Source organism: Homo sapiens, chromosome 2 (assembly GCF_000001405.40).
Source record: "Homo sapiens chromosome 2, GRCh38.p14 Primary Assembly".
NCBI classification, from domain to species: domain Eukaryota; kingdom Metazoa; phylum Chordata; class Mammalia; order Primates; family Hominidae; genus Homo; species Homo sapiens.
Genome location: NC_000002.12, coordinates 37,314,672 through 37,326,942, shown reverse-complemented (window position 1 = coordinate 37,326,942; position 12,271 = coordinate 37,314,672). Strand labels below are relative to the sequence as shown.

The 12,271-nt window shown below is 40.1% G+C and overlaps 1 protein-coding gene and 1 long non-coding RNA gene across 7 annotated transcripts in view, besides 2 other annotated features; one reads left to right on the top strand and one right to left on the bottom strand.

The window, feature by feature from the left end:
* Window positions 1-178: 178 nt before the first annotated feature.
* PRKD3-DT (PRKD3 divergent transcript) lies at window positions 179-1,862 on the bottom strand. Its single transcript, NR_183394.1, has 2 exons — window positions 1,421-1,862; window positions 179-466 (listed from the first exon to the last, which is right to left on the bottom strand). It is a non-coding gene; the product is annotated as a PRKD3 divergent transcript (long non-coding RNA).
* Window positions 1,750-2,379: a silencer, noted in NCBI's record as "silent region_11356". NCBI's record gives its function as "represses an Ori minimal core promoter by ATAC-STARR-seq in GM12878 lymphoblastoid cells {active_cell/tissue: GM12878}" and the evidence as "EXISTENCE:reporter gene assay evidence [ECO:0000049][PMID:35858748]".
* The window catches only part of PRKD3 (protein kinase D3), a 74,332-nt gene continuing 64,170 nt past the window's right edge, over window positions 2,110-12,271 (top strand). The window contains exons 1-3 of one of the 6 annotated variants that reach the window (XM_047443853.1): window positions 2,110-2,262; window positions 9,044-9,156; window positions 9,764-10,706. In XM_047443853.1, coding sequence (XP_047299809.1) covers window positions 10,419-10,706 — 288 coding nt within the window. In that variant the 5' untranslated portion in view covers window positions 2,110-2,262; window positions 9,044-9,156; window positions 9,764-10,418. Of the gene's footprint in view, window positions 2,263-2,538; window positions 2,746-9,043; window positions 9,157-9,763; window positions 10,707-12,271 lie in introns of those variants that run through there. The other 5 variants (XM_047443852.1, NM_005813.6, XM_005264237.5 and 2 more) reach the window with 5 other exon arrangements.
* Window positions 3,020-3,099: an enhancer, noted in NCBI's record as "active region_15582". NCBI's record gives its function as "activates an Ori minimal core promoter by ATAC-STARR-seq in GM12878 lymphoblastoid cells {active_cell/tissue: GM12878}" and the evidence as "EXISTENCE:reporter gene assay evidence [ECO:0000049][PMID:35858748]".

Below are 12,271 nucleotides of genomic sequence, written 5' to 3'. Positions count from 1 at the left end.
TATTTTCTCTCAAGGATTAAAACATTTCACATGGCAATACACTTATTTATTAAATTCAATCTTTATCTCTGTAATGCTCAGGAATGGAACACCTTGAGGAAACTGTAGTTCATGTTAAGCAAAAAATTAGATACAAAGATAGTTCTTTGATCAAATGTGCTGAAAGATTTACCCAAAGTGGAGGAGACCGCTTTATTTTTAAAAAGAGAAGCAGAACAGTGGAAATAAAATGAAATATATACATTACATATCTCTGTTTTCACACATGCACACAAATACTTAAATCTCTGTATAACAGCAGTTTGAATCGTCTGGAAAAGTTACTTCTAGGAAGAGTAACTTCTGTCACTTTAAGTACTACAGCAGAAAATGGAAGTTAATAGTGAGATAAGACTGGCTGTAAACTGCTCCAATGAGGTCCTGGGAATCTTGCTCAGAGGCAAAATTTGGGGCTGGACTAAAACGTCTGTTGGGAAGTGAAAGGAAGAAAAGGGCAAAGTTAAGCAAGAGAGTCCTTTAAAAAGAAGGCAAACTTGAGTAAATCTACTTTCAATTTTAAAGTAAAAGAATAGCTGAATAGGACTCTAATAACAAAAATATAGTAAGATTGAATTAGATACTGCTGGATGTAAGACATTTAGCAACTTCCAATTCCTGAGAATGTTTCAGAAATCTTTTTTTAAATAGATTTTTAAATAAAGTAATCAAGGTTTTACACAATCTTACCTGCCTTATGTTTAATATAAATTATCTTAATATTTTCATTTCTTAACTTTAAATCCGAGGACATCCATTAAGAGTGATGATTTTGTATCAAAAGTAGGGGCTAATTTATGTTTATTTTTCTTTCTATTCTTGAAAACTGCCCTCTTGGCTGGGCGCGGTGTCTCACGCCTGTAATCCCAACGATTTGGAGGGCCGAGGCGGGCGGATCTCTTGAGGTCAGGAGACCAGCCTGGGTAACACAGCAAGAGACCTCGTCTCTACAAAAACTAACTTAAAAGTTAGTGGGGCGTGGTGGCACACGCCTGTAGTCCCAGCTGCTTGGGAGGCTGACGCAGGATAATCACTTGAGCCCAGCAGCTCCAGGCTGCAGTGAGCTATGATCGTGTCACTGCACTTCAGCCTGGATGACAGAGTAAAACCTTTTCTAGAGAGAAAGAAGAAAGAGAGAAAGGGGAAAAGAAAGAAAAAGAGAGAAGAAAGAAAACTGCCCTCTTGATTGTAGTCCCTCTGATTGTTTCAATATATTTAAGTACTTTTGGGATAAAATGTTGACATAAGGAGAATCATGTGGCTTCTGTGACAATGCCTGTCAGCTTCTCAGGCCTTTCTCTCACATAAGACATCGAAAATTTATGCACAGTGTATTTTCCCTCTAGATCCTTATGCTGCTGACTCCCACTCCCGCCCCACTCACCCGACACGGTCATACTTTGTTTTGGAGCAAAACAAATGTTAACATTGTGTTTCCAGACACCTGGAAGCCCAGGTTTGGTGATTCTGGACTGCACTCCACTTTGGTGGTAGGGTCACATTCGCGTTTAAAGGCCGACGGGGAGGAAACACCGAGCACCGGGAAAACCCCTGCAGTCACCGGAACGTCGGGCTTGGGACGTGCCGGTTTGGGCGCCGAGCTGCGGTGCCGGCGGCCACCCCGGGGGCAGGCAGCAGGGAGGAGCATGCGGGAGGGCTGTGACATCTCAGGGTGGAAGCAGCTCTCTGCTCTGGACGCCTTACAAGTCCCCCGTTCCAACTATCACCTCTGGCCCATTGTCGCCACCGCCTCCCTCAAGAGTGCACGGCAGTAGAGGAAAAGACAGTACCGTCGGCAACAGCGCGATCAAGTACCGCGTGTAACTGATAGACACGCTCGCGACTCCCGCGGCGCCCCTGCCCCGTGCCCCCGCGCTCACGAAGACGCCCGGAACTCGAGGGTGCGGAGCCAGCCCGACTGTACCCGGCGCTCCCGGCGCCCCTTCGCGGGGCAGAGACAACCCCGACCTCCCGCCGCGGCCACCTCCCGGCGGGCGCGGGCCGAGGAACTACAGCTCCCGGCAGGCCCCGCGCTGGCCGCGCGCCCCCGCCCCCCGCGCGCCCCGGCCCCCCGCCCTCCGGCCCCAGGACGGGACGGGGAGGGAGGGAGGAAGGGGCGCCGGAGGCGGGCGGGATCCTGCGAGGCGCGTGAAGCCTCGCTGGCGCCTCGTCCGGTACTCAGACGCTGGCGGGCGCAGTTTCTCACGACGGGCCGAGCCTGCCACTGTAAGTAGTCGCCTCGGGGAGCGCTGAACAGACACCGAAAAAGTTCGCGCCGCCGCCGCCGCCGCTTTGTTCTCCCGGCCCGTCGGGCTGAGGCGGCGGCGGCCCCTCCCCCATCCCCCAAACCCCCAACCCCCCAACTGCACGCGGCGGCGGCGGCGACAGGACTCGGACCCCGCGCCGGGCTGGGCGGTGTCAGCCGCGCTGGGCGGGAAGTTGGGGGAGCGCGCGGCGGGAGGTGGGCGGCTGAGGGGGAGCGGGGGCGCCGCCGCAGCCGCCAGAGGGGCCAAGTTCCGGCGTCCGCGCGGAGGGCAACTTGGGTTCGCGCTCCGCTGGAGACCACCGCGCCCGGCCCATCGGAGGCGATCCGTTCCCGGGTCTCCCAAACTAGTTCCCGAAGCCAGACCCGCGGCGCTCGCAGTGCCGAATTTTGGACCAGCTTTTTCGTTTCATTTCCTCACTTTGCGTTGTAGTCGTCTCAAAGGGGTGAGTAAATGGTGCTTGGAGAATGTAAGCCCCTCGCCCCAGTATCCCGACTGCGTTTGGATTTGCTAGTTGCAGCATTGTTCCGAGTTGCTCCCTCCTGGGAGGTTTTCCTTAAGCTGAAACACTGAGGAGTGCCACTGTTTCTTTGAGCAGTGAAAATAACCATATACTACTGTATTGCCGGTTGGGTATTTTATTTCAGGTGAACGCAGTCAGAGGCATAGGCCTTGCCGTCTGCAGGCACACATACGATTCAAGCGACAAGTGTGTGCGCGCGACCTGCCGACTTTTCCACACACAGATTGATGGCATGGACGTAACTGTGTCTTCAATCACACCCATCCCCACAGGAAATAAGACTATCGGTGTCATCTTTGATTAGGAAGGATAAGTTACACCCTGAACTGCTGCTTGGTGCGACACAGCTTTTATGAGACATAGCCACAAATGGAACAAGAACTTTTAAATGCCTTAATTTGTATCCTAGAAAATGTTATTTTATTCCTCTGAAACTTTTTTTTTACCCTTCTACTTAATGTCGTCGTTCTTACATTTTTAGCGATTTTCATTTTCCTTAGCTTTGCTGCAGAAGGCGTCCATAAAGTTCCCCCGACTGAGATCTAGGCCAGTTTTTCCTTGTCAACGAACCCTTGCTTCCTTCCCTGTTAGATTCCGAGTTAAGATCAAGCATGGACATTCAGCCAAGAAGTTAGAAGATTTTCTAAAAGTAGGATTTGAAACGTGTCACACAGAAACCGTGGAAGGTTTTTCTTCAGTAGGTAGTAATACAGTTGTGGTGGGCCTGAGTGCATGAGCTTGGAGTACTCCTTGACGAGCCAGGTTCCATCCTCGGTTCTATAATTTAGTATATAGCATTTCACATTTCAGGGTGACTCAGGTTCTGTAATTTAGTATATAGCGTTTCACATTAAGAATGTTGACTGATGTGTATCTTAAAACTAATTTTTTAAGCATCCTAGATAATGGTAAGTCTTTTAGAGAAAATTTTAAGCTTTCAGTTTCATCAGATAGCCACTTTAAAATAGAAATTTCTTTCTGTTCGTGGATTTAAACACTGCCACACACACAGAACTTCATAAATAAAACTTTCTGATATTACATTTTTTTAAATTACGAATTGAAAACACCACATACAGAAAAATATGAATAGGTGGTCATTTAAGTGCAGTTTTCTTAAGGGACATTTTGTTCTCATTTTTTTAAAAGACTCTAAAGTTGAAAATACTACAGTGGAGTTAATTGTTCGTTTTTAAAAGAAACTGCTTGTACAGAGCTTGATATATAAGGAAATTCTTTGCTAGTACAAGTTTTAATTTGATATAATGCTGCTTATAATTCACAATCTTCTGTGATGATTGTACTTTGAGTCTCGCTGATTATGTAATTCAGATCGAACTTGCTATATATATATATGTATCTCTTTGAGTAGCCCTCTCAGGAAAAACTTGAGATAATGTGCTTATGAGATATTTTCATTTTAATGTAGGAAAAAAAATTTTTCCATTTCTGTGGTTAGTTTATTGTGGCAGTATGTGAGAAATTGCTCATTGGCTGCTAACCAATCAGATTTCTTAGCTACTACTGGTGCAGAGACTAACATCTGTCAAGCTCAACATGGATTCATATTGCATTGCCAGACTGGCAGTCCATAATCTTATTACTGGATAAACTTTTCAGTTCCTGAGCAGAGCAGATATGGTGTGCTCTCTCAGTACTCTCTGACAGTGGAAGGACTGAGATTCAACTGTCACTGGTCCAGATGAGCAGAATTTTAGAGGAAACAATTTAGCAAATGCTAAGCTCTTAGGAAAAGTATGTTAATCTAAAGTAATAGGTATTTTTGAAAATATATAAATCATTGTCGGGATTGCTACAAGATATGATTTTTTTAAAAACCAACGACGTAGACACTTGAGTTTTTAAATACAACATACAATATAAAAGCAAGAACAATTACTAAGCAAAGTCAAACCTATGTCAAAACATGGACATGGACTTTAGGACGCTGGTCAGAATTGCATTGAAAAAGGCCACATACTTTTACGTGGTAAAAGAATACTAATATTAATACATGTCAAGAGGCGTGGACACAACCCTCCACGTCATTAGCATTTCTAGTACACAAAACTTAAGTTGAACCTGGAAAACTCTTTACTGGGAGGAATTCATGTTATAATAAATATTGTTATTCCAATAGGAAAAGCATTTTATCTCTTCACTTTAGCCTTTGCTGAGTATTGTACAAAAAGAATGATGCTGCACTAAATAATGAACTTCTTTTTGAAGAATTTAATAACTAGATGCATTTTGCCTTCCTGGAATCCTTTTGTCTGTCTCTTTGCATCGTTGACTCTTGCTTATCCAGAGATCTCAGCTTAAATATTTCCTTAAAGGTACCTTTCCTGAGATTCCAGCTGGAATTGAGTCCCCTTAGTATACTCTGCCATATCACCTCTTGCAGTTTATAATTACCCAGCTGTTTGTATGAATGTTATGTCTGTGTCTCACATCACACTTTGAATTTCAGAGAGAGCAGTGGCCATGTCTGTTTCGGTCACTGCTCTATAACTCCAGTGTCTCTCATAACAGTCTGGGAAATAATAAGTACTAATTAAGTATTTGTTAAGTGGAAATACTGCTGTTAGAGCTTCTCCTAATTAGAGTGTTAAAAATGAGATAATGTGTGCATGGGGGAAGGGGAAGGAGAGGGAGAGGAAGTAGATAAACTTGTGATATTACCGTGAGATAATCCTCAAGTAAGTCCTCTCACCTCCAGGGCCTTTGTTTCACCTTGTCTGTAAAATAGGACAGACTGGGTTCAAGATGCCATTAATATCCTATATTTTGATTCCAGTAACAATGATGACAGATTATGTAAGCTCATTTGAATGGAATATGTGACAGCTAGCTCCCCAAAAGAATATTTGACAAGTTCTAAATAAACATATTAGAAATGCTTGCCAACTAGATGATATTATTTAGAGCCTCGTACCCCTGTTAGAAACAAGCATATATAATTGGTATATAGTTTGTAAATTAATAAGATGTACTCTTCTTTCAGTTTTCTAATTGAAGCGTAAAGACAAAATTAAGCAGCATATCAAGGTTCATGTAAGTTACAGTTATTAGGTTTAATATTTAGTTTTAATATTTTTCACCCAACATCTTGTTGCATCTTCCAGAGTAAATCTGGGGTCCATAAACCAAACCAGGAGAGGGAAAATGGAAAGAGTGGGCAGAAATCTGACAGCTCTTAGGTTTCTTCTATTTGTGTTAATACTGAGACTTTTAAAAATCATTTTTATATGTAGTGTTTATTATGAATAGTTGTAATTTGTTCTGATAAATTAGTTGTATTAAACACTGTTATTTGGCTAATATTACTAGGTATAATAAAATGATATTTAGTGGGAAGACATTCATCAAAGTAGAAGTAGTTAATTTGGGCCAGGTGCAGTGGCTCACGCCTGTAATCCCAGCACTTTGGGAGGCCGAGATGGGCGGATCACTTGAGGTCAGGAGTTCCAGACCAGCCTGGCCAACATGATGAAACCCCGTCTCTACTAAAAATCCAAAAATGAGCCAGGTATGGTGATGTGCACCTGTAATCCCAGCTACTGGGGCGGCTGAGGCACAAGAATCGCTTGAACCCGGGAGGCGGAGGCTGCAATCAGTCAAGATCGCGCCACTGTACTCCAGCCTAGGCAACAGAGCAAGTCTCTGTCTCAAAAAAAAAAAAAAAAAAAAAAAAAAGTCGTTAACTTGCATACAGTTTTATTCATAGATATTTTACTACTTTATTTTGGTAGTTCATCTTATAAAAACTACTTAAGTCAGATACGTTGTGGAGCTCATTACCTCGTGAGACAACCTGTTCCATTGTTAGGTTGTTGGATATGGAATAATGTGGTAGAAAGAACTTGGGCTTTGGAGTCAGGGAAACTAGTTTGAATCTCATTTCTATCACTTACTAGCTATAGTCACAGGCAAACAACAGCTTCTCTAAAATTCTTGTTTCTTTTCTGGAAAATAGAGTTAAACCTCCTAGAGTTGTTGCAAGGATTTAATAAAGTATCATATCTCACTTTATGTGTTTAGCATAAAGTAAAGGCTTAGTTGTTAATTCCTTCAACTAATTGCTGTGAAAATTGCTAAAACTTACTGAGCACTTACTGTTAGCCAGGTGTTGTTACAGATAGTTTGTACCCCGTAGCTCAATCCTTGCAACCTGTGAGGTTAAGTAAGAAGTGCTCTCATCTTCATTTTTCGTCTACCCTCTGCAGTGATACTGAATAAAATCAATTCTCCTATTAACACTTATTCAAGTATTTGAAAACCACTTATTCTGTTTGGTTTTGTTAAGCACATTTTTATCACATGACATTATTTTTACCTTTGCGTGCATGATTTTTTTTTTTTTAAATCAGTATGGCTCTAAAAATGTTGACCATAGATATAAACATAATTGTGATATAGGCTGAGTAACAAGGAGTATACAGACGGATGCTGATGTGTTCTCAGTGACCTAGGGCATTAGCTTTGCATTAGCTCTTTTAGTCACCCATTATATTAGCAGTTTGAATTAATCTTTTTCGTTGATAAATACCTCTCATATAAACTGCTTACAAGTAAGCATTTCCCCATTTCTGTATTGCACATTTTGGGGAAACTAAATGCAAAGCTTTACACTTACCTTTAAGTTTCAGTTTAATTTTAGTTTATTTCTCCCAGATTTCTTCAACCTGAGGATTTTATAAGCATATTCTTTATGCCTTTATTATCTAATAAATAGTGAAAAATGATATAAGGCTGAGGACAGTGTTTCAAGGCAGTTCCGTAAAGACTTTCCTCATCTAAGGTGACACAGAGCAGCAAACTTAACTACACTAACATCCAACCCACACTCCAGTAACATTCTTGCAAAGGTAGCATGGACAATCATCTTGGATACTATTTTTGTCAGAATAAACTATCTTTTTTTTCTGGCTTTGCTGATTTTGTGGTCTTGGGCAAGTACTTTAATCTCTAAACCTTTGTTTTCTCAACCATATAATGAGTTGCTGTGAGGATTAATGAGGTAATATGTATAAAGTGCTTAGAACAGTATCTGACAGATAGTAAGAGCTTAATAAATGTAAGCTATTGTTATTTTTTTCCAGCTAAGAAGCCTAATAATCATTATTTTCCAAGATGTAAATGTGGTTGACTTCTAGTGATCATTATATTCTTCTCTAGTTATTCACAAACCATTTGCTTCATTATTTTTTATGTTTGTAATTTCTGAAATTTGCTTTCCTGCTTCTCCAGCCGCCAGAACTTGAAACCGCTCTACAAATCTCCAGGCCATGATTATATCTGTCTTTTTGAGCTCTTTCTCCAAGATTGCAGGAGTCAGCTTTGTGATTACATTTGTGAATTGCTTTAGTAGTATGGAATGGACTGCATCTGGACCCAGAGACTCAAACTCATGTAAAGTTGTTATAGTCTTAGTCATTTGTCTCAGGTTTCAGTTCTCAATGCCTTTCTGCAGTTTTAGTTTAAAACTGTGGAGAAGATAAGCAAAATACAAGTTGAGCAGTCTGTCTTTCTGTGCGATTTCTCAACCTTAGCAACATCCTCTGAGCAGTGATTCTTAGTTCCTTGTTCTCTTCGAGAAATAGTGTGTTCTTGTGGAGACAGCACTGGTAAGAAAGTACAAAACCTGGCTTCTAATTCCCGCTCCACCTATTAATAACCATGTGCTGCTGGGCAAGTTGCGTTATCGCCTTGTGCTTCAATTTTCTTGTCTACAAAAATGATTTCTACCCTGTCAACTTTCAAAGAGTTATGAGGTAAAGTATGTGAAACATTTGTAAACTATCAAGTGTTGTACATTATATAAGATGGAATAATGATCATTTACTTGAAAGTAGCTATGAAAGCTTTCATCTTCAGTTTTTTTTAAAGTCTCAGTTTTTTCCTGAGCTTTCCCATTCCTAATACTATAGTTGTGTGCTTTTGCCCTTCTGTCACGTTCTTCCTAATTTAACCCATTAACTACTCTGCAGAGAGTTACTCTGCAGCCACATTGGATGATTTACTCTTTCTCTTCATTGGAATTATTTATGGGTATATAGATGGAACTTAGAAAGAACCATCAATTATGAGCTGTTTCACGCCTAAGCCATGTGGAGGGGTTGGGTCATACCTTTTTTTTTTTTTAACTTTTTGACCTGTGCTTTCCTAGAAATTATGATACATATTTAACTATACCTACTGTTCTCTTTCTTACTGTTAGAAATGCTTTGTGGTCTACAGCCACACCACCCCAAATGTGCCTGATCTTGTCTGATCTTGGAAGCTAAGCATTGTTGGGCCTAGTTAGGACCTGGATAGGAGAAATCCCTTATGGTGAGATCCCTTTCTCTTATGTTCCTGTGATAAGTATGTCAGCTTTCACACTTATTGATCATTTAACTGTTCAGTATATCCCCTCCTGCTTCCTTAGCCTTCTGAAAGGAATGTTTCAACAAAGCAAGTCAAGAGTCATGTTTCGGCAGAATTAGTATTGTAATATTAAAAAAAGAATACTCTTGTATTAGGAAAGTATTGTACATCTTTTGTGTGGTGGGGTGGCATGTATTGTATGTCTATGAAAATGTCAGTTTTACTGTTTTTTGTCCCTTCTGTTTTTGATATAACTCAGTCATGTAATTGTAACATAGAAGTGTTTGGTCTTCATTGATTAAAAATGAGGTAAATTTTAAAAAATGTTTAATGTTTAAGTTTTAGGTATCAGTGTAGAGTGCCAAGGATATTTTTCGAGCCTCTCCCTGAAATTATACTTATAGTAAAAAAAGTCTTTGCTAACTAGCCAAAAATTGCTACCCATTAGGATTTATTAGTGAATTATAAGCATATGACCAAAAATTGTCATTTAAAAAAGTTATGTTCTTATTTTTAAATTAATGTCGAATGAATATAAAGTATTAAAAACCTTTAAAAAATTTCCTTCCAGGCTAACTATATGTCAGAAAGCATCAGCTTTTCTCGATGGACCCATTCATCTAATGAAATATGCCTGTACTATTTTAAAAAGCTTTGTATTTCGTCATAGAAAAGTTCATCCCCCCAGAATGAAAATGAGGACATTTGAGAAGGTGATTTAAGGTGTGGACATTTGAGAAGGTGTCCTATCAAATTAGTAAACCAAAGGAAAAGTACTGAATAGATTAATCCAAAACACTTACTGTTTTTTAAACGAAGAGGATTTCACCTTGACAGAAAAACAACTTTTATTCAATATGTATTTCCTGAAATTAAAGAGACAAGTACAGACTGAAAGGAAAATAGATTCGTAAATAAGCTACGTCAACTCTATCCTGCTGAGGATAGCTCAGTGATGTTAAATCCTTTACAAATCCCTGGTTGTCTTCCTACAGACAAGACTGCTTTTTGATGGGACTGATATTAAGAGAAATAGGACCTTTGGGGCATTCAACTCCTTGATAAAACTTAAAAGTATCGGCATGAGTGGCTTAACAGAGGAAATAAAGAAGTTTTCAACTAAATCCAAAAGTGCGGTCATTTTCTTTACTGCTGTTATTTTAAAAACCTCTTCATAACCATTGAAAAAGAATCGACAACTATTTTAAAAGATTAAAGAAAGGCAGATGTCTGCAAATAATTCCCCTCCATCAGCCCAGAAGTCTGTATTACCCACAGCTATTCCTGCTGTGCTTCCAGCTGCTTCTCCGTGTTCAAGTCCTAAGACGGGACTCTCTGCCCGACTCTCTAATGGAAGCTTCAGTGCACCATCACTCACCAACTCCAGAGGCTCAGTGCATACAGTTTCATTTCTACTGCAAATTGGCCTCACACGGGAGAGTGTTACCATTGAAGCCCAGGAACTGTCTTTATCTGCTGTCAAGGATCTTGTGTGCTCCATAGTTTATCAAAAGGTACTGTGTGTGCTATTATCAGTAGTAAATAATATTGTTACTGATGTTTTTCTATAAATTATACGTGTACCAGTGAGTTAAGACATACTGATCCATCAGTAGTTTATTCTGTGCATTTTTGGAAGAGTTCTAATGACCTCTGAGGCTAAAGACTGAAATTTCAGAGTCTAGCTAATTGGAACATATATCCCAGATTTAAAATACATTTATTTGGCTGGGCGTAGTGGCTCACGCCTGTAATCCCAGCACTTTGGGAGGCTGAGGCAGGCAGATCACCTGAGGTCAGGAGTTCGAGACCAGCCTGGCCAACATGTTGAAACGCCATCTCTACTAAAAATACAAAAATTAGCCAAACATGGTGGCAGGCACCTGTAGTCCAAGCTACTCATGAGGCTGAGACAGGAGAATCGTGGGGAGCAGGGCAGGCGGCGGAGGTTGCAGTGAGCTGAGATAGCGCCACTGCACTCCAGCCTGGCACGGCAACAGAGTGAGACTCAGTCTGAAAACATAAATAAAATGCATTTATTTTAGCTTTAAAGTATCACTCTTCTGTTTGTCTCTCAAGAGCAGGAAAATCTGTATAGAGTCAAGGCAGCATAAGAAATCTCATTTGTTTTCAGAGAAAACAGGAGGTAGAGGGCACAAGGCCCCCTGGGACACAGTAGCTAGCAGCTGAGTCCCATCTCCATACCTTGTTATCTCTAGGTACCCTGTGTTCTGGCCCCTCTTTTTTTTATCCATTTCCTTCTCTTTAGATCTTGTTTAGGAAGATTCTGAACGTCCTGAAAAATAAACTGCCATTTAATATAGGACCATGCTTTCTGTCTTTTAAAAAATAGGTAAATTAATTTTGAATATACGACAAAATATTTGAAAATTCAGGGTGGTTTTATGTTGTTTCTCATTCACCCTCCTTCCCTGTACCGTGCCGTTTTCTTAAGGAACTTTAGCTAAATATCTTTAATAATCCCGATTTGATGGATGAGGCTAGTATGTTTTCTGTGTTATCAAAAGAGTTTATATGGGTTGTATGAATTGGTTATATTTTATTTTTAGTAGATTTTAATGAATTTTCAAGCATGTTTCAGATTTGTTTCAAACAAATTGTAAACTTTCTATTTGCAAAAATCATCTCTCTCTGGGAATTCATGCTCTTCATCTTACTGTCTTTGTTTCAATTCTTTACGCTTTATATAGTTTATCATTCATTATCTTCTGATGTAAATAATTACCCATCCAAAAGATGTTGTGCAGTTTGTGAAAATGACCTATGCTGCCTTTGTTTTAACAATGACTTGTACATGTGGCCTAAGTTATTCCTAAGTAAGAATAACTTTACTTCTGTAGACCTGTAGAGCATTGTATCCTTCCGTAGCTTTGCTTTTAGTTTCCCTTCCATTATCCTTTACAGACTGTTTTCAAACACTTTTGCAACTAGATTGTAATTTTTTTATTTAATTTTTAAACTTAAATACATATTTGTAACTTAAATATAATGTTCCCTTTTTATTTGAAACCATAGAAACTCATAACCAGTGTTTTGATGACTCTCTATGATTTAGTTT